The following is a 19,818-nucleotide window of genomic DNA, read 5'->3' on the forward strand; positions in this document are numbered from 1 at the left end:
AGCAAACTTCCCTTCATTCAATCAACACACTCTTATTGAACACCTACTTTGTGCTTGCTACCCATTGTCCTAGGTCCTAGAAAGACAATGCTAAGAAAAAGAAATGCAGGCCCAATCTCTGCCCTGGTGGACTTTACAGTGTCTAGTGATTAAGTTTCAGTCTTGTCCCAGTTACTTTACTCTAACAAGAAAACAATCTCCCTGCTTGCACCTCCTTTCAAATACTCATATCTGTTTCACCCATTGGACACTTATTAGGTACAGCTATGTAGAATTCGTCATCCTATTCAGGGATTCTTTATTAAGGGTAACAATAATAATAATATCAGTAACTTCCATTAATTGAATGTCTACCCTATGCCAGGCACTCTACATATACTGTCTCTCGTCCTCACAATGACATTGCCTTGAAAGAGGTAATTTTTCTCTTTTTACTAATGAAGCACTTGCAGCTCAGAGATGATAAGTAATCTGCCCAAGGCCACATAATTAGTAAATGACATTATCAGTGCAAGAACCCAGGTCCCCTGGCTCTGAAGGCTCTCTCCACAACACAGCAAGCTGTCAGACGTCTTTGTTGCATCATGCATTGAGGTAGTGAATAGTCCGTAAACAGTGAGGAAGGGTAATGTGAGGAAAAGAACATGGTTTTGGAAAAAAAACAGACTGGCATTCAACTCCTAGCTATGCCACTTACTAGTTATGTGACCTTGAACAAATTCCTAAACTTCTTTGTATTTTGTTATCCTCATTTTAAAATCACCACAGCAAAAATAAATAAATAAAGTCATGTATCTCGCAGAGCTGCTGTGAGGATTAAATGAAATGATAAATATCTGGAAAAGCAGCATGTATATAATAGGCTTCCGGCCAATGCTTCTTCTCTTCTTCCTTTGTTGATGCAGATCAGTTAAAAGTTTGCCATCTATCTTTTTGTTGCTCATATAAATTCCTAAGTTTGATACTAAGAAACACCTGCAGAAGGGTCTTTCAAGCACCTGCAAGTATATTAAAGAGGCAGATACAGGAACTGAGAGATAAAGGCAGTATGGTTGAGAGGAGATGGAAAACCAATCTAGAAACCAGGCAGTGGGAGGCTGTGTGGTTCCTTTTGTTAGGAAAACTTTTCAAAGGCAGAGTCCTTGAAGCTTTTGTGCATCAAAAGCATTTGAAATGCTTTCCTCGGGTGCACTTACATAGTATTGCTTCTGTGGCAAAGAAGGTATAGTCTTGTCAAAATGCTATTGATTTTTTCAGAAGGAATCTAGAGACTTCATTCACCAATGAAGCCCTGCAAACAAGCCCTAAAGCCCACTTTTTTTTCTATAAATTGGTCACCCACTCCAGAAAAGAACATGGCTAATTAACTAAAGGTTCACATTTATTCAATCTGTACTAGGTACTTTGATAGACCTTGTACATCTACCATTTCCTTAATCTTTAAAGAAAAAAAGCTTTTTAAGGTAGGAATTATAATAAAATTGACACTCAGAGAGGTTAAATATCTTGCACAAGACCACACAGTTAGAAATCGTTGGTGAGATTTGAACTGATTGTTTATTTATTCAACAAATATTTATTGAGTGACTACTATGGGCTGAGTCTGCCTGTTTCTAAAGCTAATGCTCTTTTCACTATCTAATTCTTCCTGGTAAAATAAATAACAGTATTCTCTGTCTGTTACAATGTTCTTTCAGAATGCAAAAGCAGTTTGGCCAGAACATGATATGCTCATGGCTCAGAAAAGATAATCGGGCAGATTGGCCTGGCCAGGCAAGTGTCCATATGTCTCAGCAGCACTCCACGTGTATCCATTCATCTCAAAGCTAGATTTTTAAAAAAGAATGGTCCACTATAGTCAGGAGTGCCATTCTCGGGAAAGTATGACTATCTGTGTTTGATTACTTCTAAAACTTTATAACGAGGATACACTTCAGAACATCTATTTACTAGAAAGTTGAAAAGAGGTGAAGATCAGTACACGCGACTCACTAAAAAAGGAAATTATAATTTTAGTGCCTTACTTTTATATAGGCAATAGTTCTTTCCAGTGTACTATTTACAACATAAATGATGAGATTTTAGCCCCATACCATTCTGTATGATCAGGAAGGGAATGGTTATTATGTCCATTTCTCACAAGAGGAAACTGAGGTTCAAGTTGTCAAAGTCATTGGTACTTTCCAAATGTCCAAGTTCACATCATTATTTAATGGCAGAACCAGGATTTATCTTAGGATCTTTCTGCTCTTTCCAATGTACAATCTTCATTGGTCAGAATGAGCTAGGTTGTATTAGATTGTATTGCAGTAATAAATGGCCTTCAGATCTCAGGAGCTCACTATAATAAAGATTGATTTCTTGTTCATGTTCCTTGTCTGCTGTGGGTTTGGTCTGCTTTGTGTTTACTCCAGGACTTAGCGGACAGAACAGCCTCTATCTGGATCATTGCCAGTAATGTGGCAGTGTGAAAAGTGCAATTGATGGACCTCACACTGGCTTCTAGGGCTTCTGATAGAAAGTGGCTTTCACCCTTATTTCATTGGCCAAAGCAAGTCACAGCATTGCCCACATGCAATATGGCAGGTGTGTATCATCCTTTCACAGGGAGGGGCCCCAAATAGGCATAAAATTATTTCAGTTATATCAGGGTAGTAATGTATAAAGTGGTTGTCAGCCTCCCTTCCTTGTAGCATAAAGTTATTCTTTAATAAATGCGGTACTGACTAAGAATTATTTTAGGTATAATGAGCCAAGCAGTCCACTTAAATCATGTAAAAATTAAATAATTCAATAAATTTAATATTTAAAAACCAACAATTCTCAACTATCACTGTTGAGCACTAAACCCTCTGCATTTGCGAAGAGAGCAACTTTCACTCTGGGAATAAACTTTCCGTTTCTGGCAAGAGAATTGGATAGCAACATTGAAGTTCTACTGTGAATGGGCGTCAGGGTGTCATATTTGAATGTGTAATGAGTAAACATTGGCAGAAACCCCCTTTGCCACGTGACTTCAAAACAAACACCAGTCAGTAGGGAACTACCAGCTGTGCCCAGTAGAAAAAAATGCGCTCATATATTTTTCTTCCATGAGCAAAAAAATCCCCGCCGAGATCACCTCCCCTCAGAATGTAGGGCACGAATGTGTTCTCACATGAGTTCAAGAACAAAACCCCACCTCTGGAAAGTCCTCCTGGCAAAGTCATTTAAACAAATTGCAGAGGAAGACAGAAGTAGGACATGAAACAGAGTTCAGGCATTCACAGAATCTTGCATTCCCTTAAATCAATTCTCAGCTAAAGGAAAAAAAAATACAGCAGAGTTGGGGAGTGGGAGCATTTAGCAAGAGTTTAAAGTAGCTGATTTCTAATGTTGACTACATTATAATGTCCCTTACAATCCTAAGATTCTATGACTCCATAAGTTTATGTGATGACAAAAAGTTTCTGCTTTTTCAAGTACAGAAAAAAAAAGAGAAGAGGCTATGTTTTATGTAATAATAAAATTTAACAGAGAACTGCACCCTCCCACCTCCAAAAAAAATGTCCTGGTGACTATAAAGTTGTCTTGGGCTAGGCAATCTGCATATAGAATTCTGTTCCTTAAAAATTTTTTGGCACTGAGTCAGAACTTGATTTGTAGAAATGACACCTCCCCAATACTTCTTTTAGAGCAGTGAGGGGGAGGTAGAATGAACTGAGTTAGAACTTTACCTTAGACTTTTTGTAAAGGTCACCAAAGGGAAAATCCATAAAGAGTCATTGCCCTTTAGTCACTTACACGTATGAAATGTGTTGTCCTAGGATGAAAGAGAATCATTACTGTACATCACATTTCGGATTAAATAATTGTTGTGTCTTGCTTTTTTTTCATGACTTTAAATAGAATTCAGGTTGAAATGAACCTGGATTAATAGGAGATGTTTCTAAATATGTCAGTTGTGCTTTTTTGATATGCATGGATGTCATTCTACTATTTTGTTGGCATAATTGCTAGCAAATCCCCATAACTGATATTCAAATTTTAGTATAGATGTAAGTAAAAGTGTGTCCAGTTATCAAAATATAGATATAAGTAAAATTGTGTCTTAGTTATCAAAATACCAAATTTCATTTGAGCAAAAGAAATGAGGGGAGAGAAGATGGATATATTAACTTCTCTGATAAGCAACATACTACCCTGCTGCTTTCTCTAGCTACTTACTACAGAAAGAGTGCATGGTCATGAGATGCATGGAGTCTCTAGTATCTAACTGAACACAAAGAAACTTCTCTAATGGCTAGTCATGTTAAGTGATACAAGAGATGCATCCACTGGAAAAGACTGTGGCTCACTTTGAGGATGAGTATAATGTCACAGGATCAAAATATTTGAAAGAGAGAATTTGGAAGCTAAGGTTAATTTAGAATCTATAATTGCTCAGAGTTTTCTTCCCCTCCACAACCAATTCAAGTCTCTCTTAGACTCCTGAATCAAATAGCTGGTGGAGCCCATAAGTAGTAGCAGAAGTCAGTGAAACTAAATAGAGGATCAATAATTGTATATACACACATATATATATGAATGTATGTATACACACATACATGTATGTATATGGAAGTGTATACATAGATATATATCTATACATTTTTTTTCTTTTTGAGACAGAGTGTCATTCTGTTGTCCCAGCCGAGTGCAGTGGCACAATCTCGGCTCAATGCAACCTTTGCTTCCTGGGTTCAAGCGATTCTCATGCTTCAGCCTCTCAAATAGCTGTGATTACAGTCATGTGCCACCATGTTCAGCTAATTTTTGTATTTTTAGTAGAGACGGGGTTTCACCGTGTTGGCCAGGCTGGTCTTGAACTCTTGGCCTCAAGTGATCCACCCGCCTTAGCCTCCCAGAGTGCTGGGATTACAGGTATGAGCCGCCATGCCATGCCCGGACTATATGTATGTATTGAAGATAAACACATACATATATGGAGATTATAGATACACATATGTATATCATATATATCCATACATCCATACATATGGTGTGTGTGTGTATATATATATATGTTTACTATATGCGTGCACACACACACACCCCCCATATATATATTTCCATAGGTATGGTGTGTATATCTCTATATGTATATACCAGATATATATATATAAAAATATATATGTATATACCTTACACATGTAGAGATATACATGTATCATATGTGTATCCATATATATGGTATATATTTAATCTATGTGTGTATCTATAATCTCCATATATGTATATGTTTATTCTCTATATATGTATAATATACACATGTATACATTTCCACACACATACATATATGCATATATACATATATTGATATATGTATGTGCATATACAATTATTGATCCTCTATTTAGTTTCACTGACTTCTACTACTACTTATGGGCTCCACCAGACATTTGATTCAGGAGTCTGAGAGAATTGAATCTGTTGCGGAGGGGAAGAAAGCTACGTGCAATTATAGATTCCAAATTAATCTTAGCTTCCAAATTCTCTCTTTCAAATATTTTGTTCCTGTGACACCATACTCAACACCTTCTTCTCAAACTGAACCAGACTCTTTTCCAATGAAAGTATATTCCATATCCATAATACATGGATATACATATACACACATATGGATATATCCATGTACATATATGGAAATATACATGCATATATGAATACATATATACATACATATTTATATATGTATTTGATTGATTATGGCACAACTAGCTACTCAACTGATTTTTTTAACAAACCCCAATGTTATGCCATTTACAAAAAGAAATGCCTTCTGGATTAAAGACAACTGTAAAAAATAAATACTTCAAGAAAATCTAGCATATCATATATACATATATGTACAATCTATTATGTGGAAGGAGGCTTTCTTGTCAAAATGGAGAAGATATAAAAGAAAAGAGAGACTTACTTGATCATATAAGAATTTAAAACATTTTGTTAAAAGAAAGATTCCACAACAAGGTCAGTAGACTAATGATAGGTTTGGAAATATTTGTGGCATCAGCAACAGTTGGGTTTTTTGTGTTTTTTTGTTTTGTTTTGCAAATTGACAAAAGCAAAGACAATGAATAACGGAAAAAAAGGATAAAGAATTCAAATAGGATATTTACATAGGGGCAATGACCAACAAGCAAATGAAAATATTCTCACATTAAATCATAGTCGGGGAAATGTAAATTAAAGTTACAATGATATATATATTTTTATGTCCATCAGACTGGCAAAAATTGAAATGATCAATAACCTCTATTAGTGGTAGGTATATGGAAAAATGGATGTTCATACATGCTGAGAAAAATTTAACTGTAAAAACTGTTTTGGAAAGCCATTTCGCAGCAGACATAAAAAAACTGAAGATACATGCACCATTTAACCCTGCAATCTCTCTCCTTGGCAACTCTCCCAGACCAATATTACATAGAGCATGTGTAAAAGGGCACCTAATGTCAGTGTTTATAATAGCAAGAAAAGGAGAAGGGACAGGGATCAAAGTAAATGCCAGTCAATAGGGAATGTCTGAATAGGTAACAGCTCATCCACACCATGGATTATTAGGCAGCAGTTCCAAGGAGTTAGACTCATTAGAGCTAAATTTCTACTTATAAGAGATTTCTGTACAGTTATGCTTTACATGAAAAAAGAGATGTAGAAAGTATATATTATGCAATGCTCATAAAACAAACAATAACAAAACTTCCCTTATACATGTGTGTAAGTGTAAAAAGTGTATATATGATATGAGCAAGGGGAAAAATGTAAAAGTACATATCAAGTCACAAACGAGTTACATGGCAGAGAGGGGTGTAAAGGAGGAAAGAAAGGGAAGTAGAAGCTAAGCAAAAGTTTTAATATACTTCTCTAAATAATATATAATTATATGTGTGAGATAACATATATGCATTTATGCAAAAACTATATATATGCTTGTCTATATGAGAAATTAGAAAAAGATTGAAAAGCTAGTCTAAAAGCATGCTCAAACCATGACATAAAAATTAATAAAAAATATCTAACATTTACAGAGCCCTTTCTATTGGCAGACACTGTTCTAAACAGGTACCAACTCAATCCTCACAACAACCCTACGATGGGAATATTAATATCTTTGTTTGCAACAGAGGAGAGTCCAACTTACTTCTCTACAACTTTAGAATAGAACATTTAGTTTCAATTGCAAAACTGAAATTAAGTCAATCATCTTATTTGTTTCTTCAGTAATTTTGGCTTGTTTTCTTGGATGTCTGGATTTAGAAGACAGACTCTAACAGGATATCGTAAATAAAGAATTTAACAGGATACCATAAATATATCTACTCAACTAGCCAAGGTTGGTGAAAGTCATCTAAATCAAGGGCAACTGTCTTCACAAGTAGCCTCTTCCATCCCTCATTTGTTCAACCAGGAATCATGGAACACCTTCTGCACAATTCTGGGCCCAGGGGATTTGTTGGTGGCTATGACAGCCTCTGAATATTTGATGGCTTGGAAGGCTAATAACTCATGTTGCCCTAGCACATTTTTACCTCTTATTCTGAAACTAGGTGAGAAAAATTACTGGCTTTTTTGACAAAATGATGGGGCAGAATTCTAATCCTTTCTGGGAAAGAGACAGCTTCCAAGAACATGGCAGCTCTACCTAATCCAAACTCATGCATGGAAAATAACAGTGAAAGAGCCACAAAAGCAGCCCTCGATAGCTGCCTATGACTGGCACATAGCAAATAATTTCTTCATCACTAGCATTTTAGAGAGAAGTTAGGGGTTGCTAGTTTTTCCTTCTATTTGCATATCTAATTTAAGTATTCTTTGATCTTCCACCTTTATGAAGAGATGCCAAGCACCAGATCATCAACAATAGAATGCTTGATGCTCAAACACCATGACTCCCCACTCCATTTCTCTCCATTCTCTTCCGAAATCCACTTTGTGAGAACCCCTACTAAGGTCACAGTGTTAAAACAGAGATTGTGATCCGGGTAAGGCTACAGAAAGTCACTAATGAATTTATTGAGCAAGAGATGCCACTGAGAAAACCCAGGGCACTGGTCTACCGCTCTGAGTTTGGACCCTGATGAAGTCCCGAATCTGTAAATACACAAATTAAGAAAGCACTTCGATGTCTTGCAGCTCTGAGTGTCCAAGAGCCAAGATGTTCAATTGCACATGTGTGTTTTTGCAGGCTTCTGGCTTTTCCTTCTCTCTCTTAATCTGGCTGCCTCTCACGCCACCTCTGGCAAGGTACACTCTGGGGAGGCCAGAACAAAGTTTCCATCCAGTCATTCCCTTCGGTTAATTATTAGCAGCTCTGGTAAAAGTTGTTAGTGGGGCCGTTGGAAACAACAAACTGAAAATATGTTTTTAGTTTAACCATAAAGTTCATTTGTTTGGGGATTTCAGGAATCCTGTCCTGAAAGGATTCCTGTCCTGCCCAAGATAACAGTGGGCAGAGGTGAGATGGTGAACTAAGAAATGATAGATAATCTTTTCTCTGTAACTAATTAGCTAGGTGACCCTGGTCAAAGGAGGGAAGGTAACTCACAATATGACAAGTTGGGAACTCTGTGTTCTCTCACTTAATCCTCATAAAAACATATAACCTATGTATTTTTATCTCCATTATACAAAGAGACTTAAATCCAAAACTCTCTAAACTTTGCATTAAACCGGCTTCATGCCATTTAATTTACCCAAGTTCCTGTGTTCTTACCTAAGAAAACAAGGAGTTGGAATTAGTTGCTCTCTAAAAGGTCTTTCTAACTCTATAAGACTATGAATCATTTGACCTAGCAGGAAATAAACAATATTTCTCTAATAATTTCCGCAAAGTTTTTCTCTTCTTGGCCTTTATTTCCCCGTAAATTTGGGGGGCAAGTAGATAAAATTGTATTCTTCACATAAACATGATAAAATAGCTGTTCGCTCATTAGTTGTCTAATGACAACCCCTGAGGCTATTGCTTCACTCTTGTTTATATTGCTCAGTTCCGTCAGTTTAGAAGACATTAAAAAGCAGAACTGAGTTGGCTGTTTTACGTTAGTGGTGAACTTTGTGCCTCAACTGTGTTGCAACCCCACAGTTTACTCAACTCCACCTGGCAATTCAGCTGTTTGAGATAAAGTAGATTTTCTCCTGGGGAAACCAGTAGCAATTTATCTTGTTCTTGCTCTACTGCTGGCATACAGGAGGTTGGGCATTTAATAGACAGTCATCTGCCAGTAGGAGGTAATAATTGTTTTTTAGATTAAAAACAAATGAAATATGAAGGGAGTTACTGCCATATAGGAGGAATTGGAGCCAATGCTCAAGTAGTCTTGTCTAGAGCCAATGTAAGAACTTCTGTTGGAAAACTACACTTTTATGTATATGTATGAGTTTCTGCATGTGCATGCATATGAGTGCTTTAGCGTCTTGTAGATGTGTGCATGACAGCGGGTAGGGAAACTCTGGAAAAATAGCCAGTGAAGACCCAAAGCAACTCTTATTTTCTACACTCACAAGTACTATAAGAGTTGGATCGGCCGGGCGCGGTGGCTCACGCCTGTAATCCCAGCACTTTGGGAGGCCGAGGCGGGCGGATCACGAGGTCAGGAGATCGAGACCATCCCGGCTAAAACGGTGAAACCCCGTCTCTACTAAAAATACAAAAAATTAGCCGGGCGTAGTGGCGGGCGCCTGTAGTCCCAGCTACTTGGGAGGCTGAGGCAGGAGAATGGCGTGAACCCGGGAGGCGGAGCTTGCAGTGAGCCGAGATCCCGCCACTGCACTTCAGCCTGGGCGACAGAGCGAGACTCCGTCTCAAAAAAAAAAAAAAAAAAAAAAAAAAAGAGTTGGATCAATTTCTTGTGCTTAAAATTGGGTTTTATTTTGTTTATCTTTTCCACATCCCATATGTAGCCATTTTCTAGGAAAAAATTACACTGATAGCAACAAAATAATTTTTCAAAATGTATATAAGAAACAGTGCAATGTAAGACATGTAGAAGAGAGCCAGAATATGCCTTGGTGGATTGATGAGAATGCTAAGCAACGAAAGACATTCATGCTGCAATCTATACAACTAAGCAGCCTGAAACCTCCTCCATTATTCAAGTTTGAATTCAGAAAGAAGACAATGGCCTTATTCAGCTCCAGTCAATCCTAGTGTTATGCATTGAATTATTTCCCCCTAAAAGTTGTTGACATGCTAACTCCCAATACCTGCAAATGTAACTTTACTTGAAAATAGGGTCTTTGCTAATGATCAGGTTAACATGGGGTCATTAAGGAGTGCCCTAATCCAATAGGACTGTGGACTGTGTCCTTATTAAAAGGGGGAAATTTGCACACAGAAGAAGATACACACACACAGGGAGAATGTGATGTGGATATCAATGCAGAAATTGGGGTGACGCATCTAAAGCCAAAGAATCCCGAAGATCGACAGAAAATCCCCAGGAGCTAGGAAAGAGACATGAAACAGATTCTCCCTTACAGGCTTCAGAAGGAACCAAATCTGCCAGCACCTTGCTCTTGGACTTCTAGCCACCGGAACTGTAAGTCAATACATTTCTGTTGTTTAAGCCACCCAGTTTGTAGCACAGATGCCCCTCAACTTAGGATGGGGTTATGTCACAATATTTTCAAATTATAAAGGATTTATCCAGATGTAGATACTTAATGTGTCACTTTTGCACCATCATAAAGTTGAAAAATTGCAAGTGGAACCATAATATGTTGGGAATTGTATTAATCCGTTTTCACACTGCTGATGAAGACATGCCCGAGACTAGGTAATTTATAAAGTAAAAGAAACTTAATGGACTTATAGTTCCACGTGGCTGGGGAGGCCTCACAATCATGGCGGATGGTGAAATGCACGTTTTACATGGAGGCAGCAAGACAGAATCAGAACCAAGTGAAAGGGGTTTTCCCTTATAAAACCATGAGATCTTGTGAGACTCATTCACTACCATGAGAACAATATGAGGGAAACTGCCCCCATGATTCAATTATCTCCCACCAGGTCCCTCCTACAACACGTGGGGATTATGGAAGCCACAAATCAAGATGAGATTTGGGTGGGTGGAGACACAGCCAAACTATGTCAAGAACCATATGTACTTTGTTACAGCAGCCCTAGGAAACTAATACACTTAGGTTTTCTCCCAGCCAGTTTCTACAACCACGAGTCTTTCCTTTCTCATCTTTATTGGCACAGTGTCTCTAGAGAAGAGAGAAATATTTAAGAAGAGTTGGATTTTTCCTCCACTTTCTTTTCCTTCAGTCTTGTCTTCTCTAATTTCCAAAGAGACTCTTTTTTTTTTTTTACTTTTATTTTAGGTTCAGTGGTACGTAATTGTGTATCACGGGGATTTGGTGAACAGTTTATTTCATCACCCAGGTAATAAGCATAGTACCCAATAAGCAGTTTTCTGGATCCTCACCCTTCTCCCACCCCCCCACCCTCAAGTAGGTCCCAGTGGCTGTTGCTCCATTCTTTGTGTCCAAATGTACTCAGTGTTTAGGTCCCACTTATAAGTGAGAACATGTAATATTTCGCTTTCTGTTCCTGCATTAATTCACTTAGGATAATGGCCTCCAACTCTGTCTGTGTTGCTGCAAGAGACATGATCTCACTTTTTTTTTTTTTTTTGTGAGACAGAGTCTCGCTCTGTCACCCAGGCTGGAGTGCCATGGCATGATCTCAGCTTACTGCAACCCCTGCCTCCCAGGCTCAAGCAATTCTCCTGCCTCAGTCTCCCAAGTAGCTGGGACTACAGGCACCCACCACCATGCTCAGCTAATTTTTATATTTTTTAGTAGAGATGGGGTTTCGCCATGTTGGCCAGGCTGGTCTTGAACTCCTGGCTTCAGGTGATCTGCCTGCCTCAGCCTCCCAAAATGCTGGGATTACAGGCATGAGCCACCATGCCTGGCCTTAAAATAAAAGTCCCCACTAACTCATTCTATGAGGCCAGCATTATTCTGATACCAAAACCTGACAGAGACACAACACGAAAGAGATATGTTTATAAGAAACTCCTCATATTAAAAAAAAAAGTGGCTGCCGGGTGCAGTGGCTCACGCCTGTAATCCCAGCGCTTGGGAGGTCGAGGTGGACAGATCATGAGGTCAGGAGATCACGACAATCCTGGCTAACGTGGTGAAACCCCATCTCTACTAAAAATACAAAAAAAAAAAAATAGCTGGGCGTGGTGGCAGGTGCCTGTGGTCCCAGCTACTCGGGAGGCCGAGGCAGGAGAATGGCATGAACTAGGGAGGCAGAGCTTGCAGTAAGCTGAGATTGCACCACTGCACTCCAGCCGGGATGACACAGTGAGACTCTGTCTCAAAAAAAAAAAAAAAAAAAAAAAATTAAGTGGCTAATTCTACCCAAAGGCCAAATAGAAAAGAAAAGAAAAAAAGGGCAGCTATTGAATTGATCTCGGAACTTATCTCCCCAAAACGTTTGAGCTGAGAACTCTTGGGCCTGGATGGCCCAACAGTAGTTGAAGAAGAGAACAGAAAAACAATTTGCCTCTAGAGAGTCCTTCAGTTCAGGTGTGATATCAAATAATCTAATTGGATTCAGATATTCTGCTTGCAATACATGCTTTAAGATAGCTGCAGTGTTTTTAAGCAGCTGATTGGGCCATATATTTAGATAGGTTTGGTTTTCCAGTTTTGCTACTGTTGTGTCTTCTTAGAGAATTATGGATGAATCCTGATACTTAGAATTAGGTTGGAGTTAGCTGTTGTGTAAAGGAGTAGCTGAAAGGACTGACATAGAGAAGATGCTTTCTCGTATTAATTTAGGAAGGAAGGTGGGTTCAAACAGCTGAGAGGTGAACAGATGGCAGTGCATGCCGGGAGTTCCTGGCAAAAAATCAGTCACTAGAAGGGGAGGTTGAATGGAATGCTTTTGTGTCCAGGTTGCAGGAGAAACAGGAAGCTGAGACTAGATTTGGCAGCTTCTAATACAAAATTTATTAAAGTGAATTGAATTTTATTGTAAACAAATGACAATTTATTTTTCATATCTCTGCTCAATTTCCTCAGATACTTTTCTTGTGAGAGTTGAGCCTCTTAAATCACTATTCTCAGAGAATAGAAAATTCAAATATGACAACGGGGTTTAAACTGTCCATATCATTAAGCTTTGAAAAGATGGCAGGAATCTAAGAAAAAGATCCAAATATTGAGAAGACGTATTCCTTTCTTTCCATGATAAAAATCACAGAAAAAAAAATACTGCATAGGCATAGAGTTAATAAAAGATTAGGATCTTGATCTTTCAATGAGAAAACCTGAGCTTCTGGACAGTTCTAGGAAAAGCCACTGGAAGCTGTTGTCTTTGTAATGAAGGGTTCTTCTGCCAGATAACATGTGCTGTTGAAAGGCAAGTCTTTGCTGCATGACTGGTCACTCTAAGCATGCCTCTGACAAGGACACTTTAGAGGTAGCCACTGTTTCTGAACCAAGCCAGTTTCAAATACTCTTCCTTGCTCAGCAATGGACTATACTTCTTTTTTCACTTTGAGGCCTGTCCCCAAAAGCTGTCTAATAAGCCTTATAGCAGATACCAAAGGCAATTCAAATTCACTTTGAATCATGCTTCAGGAATCAGCTGCCGCAGACAGTGGTGCAACGACACATGCAAATTTCAAATAGCTAAGATACTTTACTGAGGCTTTAAAACATCAGCTCTATTTTCAAGTCAAAGATAAATGTGTCTACTGCTTTTCTCTGGGGTCATCACGTTGCTGCACTCAAGGGGAAACTTCCACCAGGTCTGTCCACTCCATATTTTTCATCCTTCTCCCTATTCAGCAGGATGCCTGGCAGGTTACTGGAACTGTGCTGGATATCAAAGATATAATTTCTGGGGGCACAAGAAGGTCTTTTTAGTCCTTCTAGAATAACATGGAAAGAAAATTCAACAAGTTATATGATGAAGTGTGATAACTATTTTGATAGAGGAAGTAGAATGCTGTGGGAATAGAGAAAAGAATTTCTAATCTAGACAAGAAAAAAAAAAAAAACAGAGAATTCTTCCAAATGAGCAGAAGAGAGCCAGGGAAGGAAGAAAGGGGCATGTGCAATTAGTCAACAAAATCACAGCCCATAACCTAACTCTGATTGGTTCACAAATCAGCCAACTGCTTCTATTAACTTCTTCCCCCAGATATCCACTTGGTTCACTCCTTAATTTCACTTGGGTCTTTACTCAGATGTCACCTTTTTACTGAGGTCTTTCCTCACCACCCTATTTAAATTACACTACACCTCCAACACTACCAATTTCTCTCCCCAACATTCACCTAACTACATATTTTGACTGTTGTTTATTTTTTGTCTATTTTCTTTCATACAAATAGATGCTCCCTTAGAACAATTTTTTTCTGTTATTTTCACTGCTATATCTTAAGCATCTAAGACAGTATTTGCAACATAACAGGCTCTTCGTAAATACATTTGGGCAGTCCATAAATACTTGCTGCCACTAGCTGATGAAGGATCCAAAATGAATTTGTGGGACAGGGTATGCTAATGTTGATGATCTCCACCCAAATCTTCTGATAGTTACCAGTCTTGATTTCAGTAAGCAAGACTTGGCAGCAGGAAATAATAATAATGTTTAATGTTTATTGAGTGATCGTGGTATGCTAGACCCTGTTAATAATCAAATACATCACTTCACAGTTTCCTCAAAATAACTTTGGGAGGTAGGGACTATTATTATCTTCATTTTACAGATAAGGAAATGGAGACACAGAATGCTAACCAACTTGCTCAAGGCCTCACACACAGACATTTAGTCACACCTCTGATAAGTCAGGAGCCAGGATTTGAGCCCCAATAATGGATCCAGAAGACTAACAATCTCCAGAAACGGAACCCATTCTGTACTCTGACAACACCGGACACTGATGTGAAAGATTAAATCTATGCTGGTAAGAAGAACTACAAGAGCTTTGATTCAACATTTTATGCAGGCCTAGATAATTATTTGTTGTAGGGAGACTGTTCTGTGTGCTATCACATGGTTAATGGTGTCTCTCTGGTCTCTACTCACTAGATGTCTCATATCCCAAGTTGTGACAATCATAGGTGTCTTCAGACATTACCAATGTCTTCTTGGGGGAAGGAGACAGAGGAGCAAAATCACTCCCAGTTGAGAATCAGTGACTTAATGTACTACAATAAAACTCATTATTCCACAGTGTAGCACTTTTTTCAAAGCCCAGTGAAATTATGGTATCATTTCTCAAAGTTATTTACAGAAGTTCCTCAAATACTTTTATTCAGCATTTCCATGGGGACTTGTTTGCAGCTACCCCTAAAGATGAGATTGTTCTAGAAGTGGGTAGAGACTGAGAGGGGAGGTAAAATAGCAAAAATGACAAAAGAAGACATGAGGTGTTTAATCACCCTCTTTTTCTTAGGTCAGGGCTATGCTGCCTAGGGCCCTTGTGTTTCCCTAGATTTGAAACATCAACAGACTGCAGGGCCCTCTGGGCATATCACAGCTTCTGCCATGGCTCCTAGAAGCCTTTGAAGCTGACAAAAAAAGGATGGAAGCCACTCTCATCTGCACATGCTATTTTTGCATATGATGCTCCCTCTGCCTGGAACACTTCACTTCCACCTTCCCTTCATCACTTTCAGTGGTAACCCCCAGGCCTATTTCCTTGGTAAACGTTACCTTCAGAAATAATCATGTTTGTTCATTGACTTATCTGCTGAATGTCTGACTTCTTCACCACTCCCCAGTTATCGCTAGAACGGAAGCTCAATGGAGCAGTGACCCATAACTCTATTTCTAATTCCTAGAGAAAAACATGACTGATGCATAATATATGTTCAATAAATATGTGTTGAATTAATTCACTAATCCTAGACCCTACCTTATACTATTTAAGCTTTTTACATGTCTCTCTCTGAACCACAGACAAACCATTCATGAAATGATCTTTATGGGGAAGGCATGACAAGAGTCAAAAGGAAGAGTCTTAAGAGATGAGTCGCTGAACATCATACTATTGTAAGCCTGAAGGGGTGGTTTGGTTTAGGCAGCCCAGTAACCCTGGAAAAGACTTGCAGACAAACTGTTGTCTGTGTACCAAGATCTTCCTATCCTAGTGTGGGAACATTAGTCTCTATGTGACTCAGCAACTTTTTGCTCCTACTGTGCACTCCACCCTTGTTATTCCTTCTTGTGAAGATATCTTGGGACTTTGCCCAACTGACTCCGTGCTCACACTTCATTGTTTTGTCCTCTCTTCTTTCTCATTCAGGAGCTCTCTTGGGAATAGAAGATTTCATGTGGGATGAAGAGAAACACAAATGTAATAGAAAAACAAAACTGGGAAAGGAAAAAAATGTTTTTGAGTGAAACTATGAAGTGACTATAGGTTGATTCATCAGTAGAAACATATGGAAACACTTATCTCAAAATTCAGTAGTTATGAAACTTGAAACCCGCTTCAATATTTTATTCAGAGTTATGTATTTGACCTTCAGGAATTCCATGTTAAGTTTCTGCTCAAAGACCAAGGAAACATCTAATTGATTGATCAAAAGGTTCATAATTAGATCCATTTTTTTCCTGAATCCATATTGGAGAAACAAGAAATAGATGACCTAAAAAAAATCCTTGAGTGGATGTCTCACCAGCCAGGAAAATTCCAAATAAAGTTTGCTTTGTGTCCAAGGGCTGAAATGAGGTGACTGTAATAGAAGTGATAGCAGGGAGCAGGTTGCTATTCTGACCTTGGTCTGCTCAGACTGCTGTAAGCATGGCCATCATTATACAGAAGGTCCAGTCACATCACGTGGGCAGAAACTAGACATTAACTTCAAGTTTTCTTTCCAGTTTTTATTTCTAATATGCCATTCTTCTCCTGGTATAATGACATAATAGCACATGAATGGACTTTACTTGGCAAACCAATGATTCCAAAAATTATTTTCAAAAGTTACACAGTAACCATAACCACAGTGTTCCATCACCAGGACAATATAACTTCAAGTCTCTTTGGCAACTCCATGAGGGGAGGGGGAGGATGAAGGAGTAATCACCTTGTTCTGCAGTTTCCTAGTCAGGCACCTAATATTCTCATTCTACTCAGTCTGTCTGTCTCTCATTCTCTCTCTCTCTCTCTCTCTCTGTCTCCTCTCTCCTCTTCCTCTCTGATCAAATGAGTTACTCTTGCCTCCTCTAAGGTCTTTAGATTCTGTTGCGATCAGAAAACAGGCTTTGGAATCTCTGCTTCAGTACCTTCATCTGAATATTAAAAAAAGGAGCAAAGTACCAACTGTCAGCCTATGTTTATAAAGCAAACTATCTGAGAAAATAATAGAAGTTTATTGACATAGACAAAACAGGCTACATATAGTGGCTCTGATATATTAAATATTTTTATAGTGTACTCATATTTAAACATAGTCAACCAAAAGCCAAAGGTCTTATTAATTAAGCAAAAATCAGAAAGCATATTATTAAATTTTAGTGTGACAAACACCATAACACAGGAAGGTACCACAGGGATGAGATTCAGAGGATTAATTGGGCAAAGAGATCTAGAAATAAACTTTATTTATTTATTTATTTATTTATTTATTTTGAGATGGAGGCTTGCTCTGTCGCCCAGGCTGGAGTGCAGTGGCGCGATCTTGTCTCACTGCAACATCTGCCTCTCAGGTTCAAGCAATTCTCCTGCCTCGGCCTCCCGAGTAGCTGGGACTACAGGCGTGAACCACCACATCTGGCTAATTTTTGTATTTTTAATAGGGACAGGGTTTCACCATGTTGGCCAAGCTGGTCTCGAACTCCTGACCTCGTGATCTGCCCCCCTCAGCCTCCCAAAGTGCTGGGATTACAGGCGTGAGTCACCGTGCCCAGCAGAAACAAACTTCTTTATGGAAATAAAATTGAAAAGAGAACATTGCCAAATAAAAAATGTTTGCACCACACACTTGTTACAAACAGCCAAGATGTTATTCAAGACTATTGCAAAAGAGGAGAGGGATTGAACTCAACTCCTAATTATTGCAAAGACAGCTGGAGATTTATACCCAATGAGGAGAGTGAGGAGGTCAGTGGATCAACAATTGGTAAGGATGAGAGATTCTTGAAGGACTTAGCAGGATTATTTGCAAAAATGGGGCTCAACAGGCCAAATTAGAAGCCTAGACGAGAAGAAGTTTCAAAGGACCCTGACTAAAGTTGGCACAGAAGAGAGTCTTTGTCACTGTGCAGGTGATGGATAGAAACAGAAACTAAAAGCCACTGTACTACACAAAGTTGGAGAAAATTCTCTTTGTGGTTTATTGAGTTTAGGGAGATAAAAAGCACCCTGGTGAAAGGAACCTGCCCACCACATAGCCTGGGGCCTCCTAGAGTATTTAGAATGGAGCATGACATTCTAAGGACATCGGGAAGTGTTTACTGAGAAACCTGAGTGAAAGTATGTCTGAGTCACATGCGACAGCAATCATGAAGTCAGGAATTTATGGAACTCTTAGTTCATCCACTCAACATTCACTCAGCAAGTATTTATGGAGAGCCCAAACGTATTTATGGAGAGCCTATTATGTTGCAAGCACTGTCTTAGGTGCTTAAGATATAGCAATGAAAATAACAGAAAGAAAATTGTTCTCAGGGAGCACATATTCATATGGGAGGGAAGAGACAATTTTAAAACACAACAAATAAATAAAACAGGCAGTTAAATGAATGACATGGAGAGAAATTGGTAGCGTGGGGGTGTGGTGTAATTTAAATAGGGTGGTGAGATCTCAGTAAGAAGGTCACATCTGCATAAAGACCTAAATGAAATTAAGGAGTGAACCCAGTGGATATTGAGGGAAGACGTTAATAGAAGCAGTTGGCTGCTTTGTGAACGAATCACTGAGTTAGGGTATAGGCTGTGACTAACTGCCCATCTTCCTTTCTTCCTTCCCTGGCTCTCTTCTACTCATCCCTCAGGTTTTGACTTAAAAACTTCTCCTTTGGAAGCATTCTCTGTTTTCTTCTTGTCTAGATTATGAACACTTTTCTGTATCCCCACAGCATTCTACTTCCTCTATCAAAATAGTTATCACACTTCATCATATACATTTCTTTCCATATTACTCTATAAAGACTAAGAAAACCTTCTTGTGCCACTCAAAATTATGTCTCTGATATCCAGCACAAAGCAGGAGGCAGAATTACGTTGGGAATCAGACTATCTGGGATTTATATAGTGGCTGTAACACTTTCTTAATACGTGCCTGTGGGCAAGTTACTTGGCCTTTCTGTGCCTCAGTTTCCTCATTTTTAACAATGGGAGTACAGATCTAGCAAGTGCCTGACACAGCGTAGATGCTTGATATAGGAATCTAACAATTGCTACTTCCTCCAGAAACATTTCAGTCCACAGGGAGCATTGCTTTCTGTGAAGTTCAAAGAAAGTGTGGCCCAGTGAAATGAACATGAGTTTTAGATTCAGATAAAGCTGAGTCAGTTTGAATACTCATATCCAATATTTTGTAATTATATAAATGGGTATAAAAATCTTTATTTCAACAGTTTGTTGAGGATTAAAAAGAGACAACACACACAGGGGCCTAGCATACAGCAGGTACTCAACAGACGCTTATTCTGCCATCATCATTACTCATATTTATCTGTTATTATCCTTCATTTGCACTTCACTGTCTGATATCTTATAAGCATCTCTTGTGGAGTCATTTAACTTTTCCTTAGGCCCAAACTCTGGCTTCCCCAGTAGAGTGTAAGTTATTTGGGGTAGAACTATATGT

General features: G+C 38.7%; 1 long non-coding RNA gene across 5 annotated transcripts in view, besides 2 other annotated features; it reads right to left on the reverse strand.

The window, feature by feature from the left end:
• The window catches only part of LINC01619 (long intergenic non-protein coding RNA 1619), a 157,856-nt gene that overhangs the window by 77,218 nt on the left and 60,820 nt on the right, over positions 1-19,818 (reverse strand). The gene's annotated exons all lie outside the window — the stretch shown is intronic.
• Positions 15,492-16,691: an enhancer, noted in NCBI's record as "MED14-independent group 3 enhancer chr12:92471461-92472660 (GRCh37/hg19 assembly coordinates)". NCBI's record gives its function as "activates an origin of replication core promoter dependent on BRD2, BRD4, P300/CBP and CDK7 cofactors, and independent of MED14, by STARR-seq in HCT116 cells {active_cell/tissue: HCT116}" and the evidence as "EXISTENCE:reporter gene assay evidence [ECO:0000049][PMID:35650434]".
• Positions 16,040-16,334: an enhancer, noted in NCBI's record as "tiled region #4469; HepG2 Activating non-DNase unmatched - State 23:Low". NCBI's record gives its function as "activates a minimal TATA promoter and a strong SV40 promoter by Sharpr-MPRA in HepG2 cells {active_cell/tissue: HepG2}" and the evidence as "EXISTENCE:reporter gene assay evidence [ECO:0000049][PMID:27701403]".

Source organism: Homo sapiens, chromosome 12, assembly GCF_000001405.40.
Source record: "Homo sapiens chromosome 12, GRCh38.p14 Primary Assembly".
Taxonomy (NCBI): domain Eukaryota; kingdom Metazoa; phylum Chordata; class Mammalia; order Primates; family Hominidae; genus Homo; species Homo sapiens.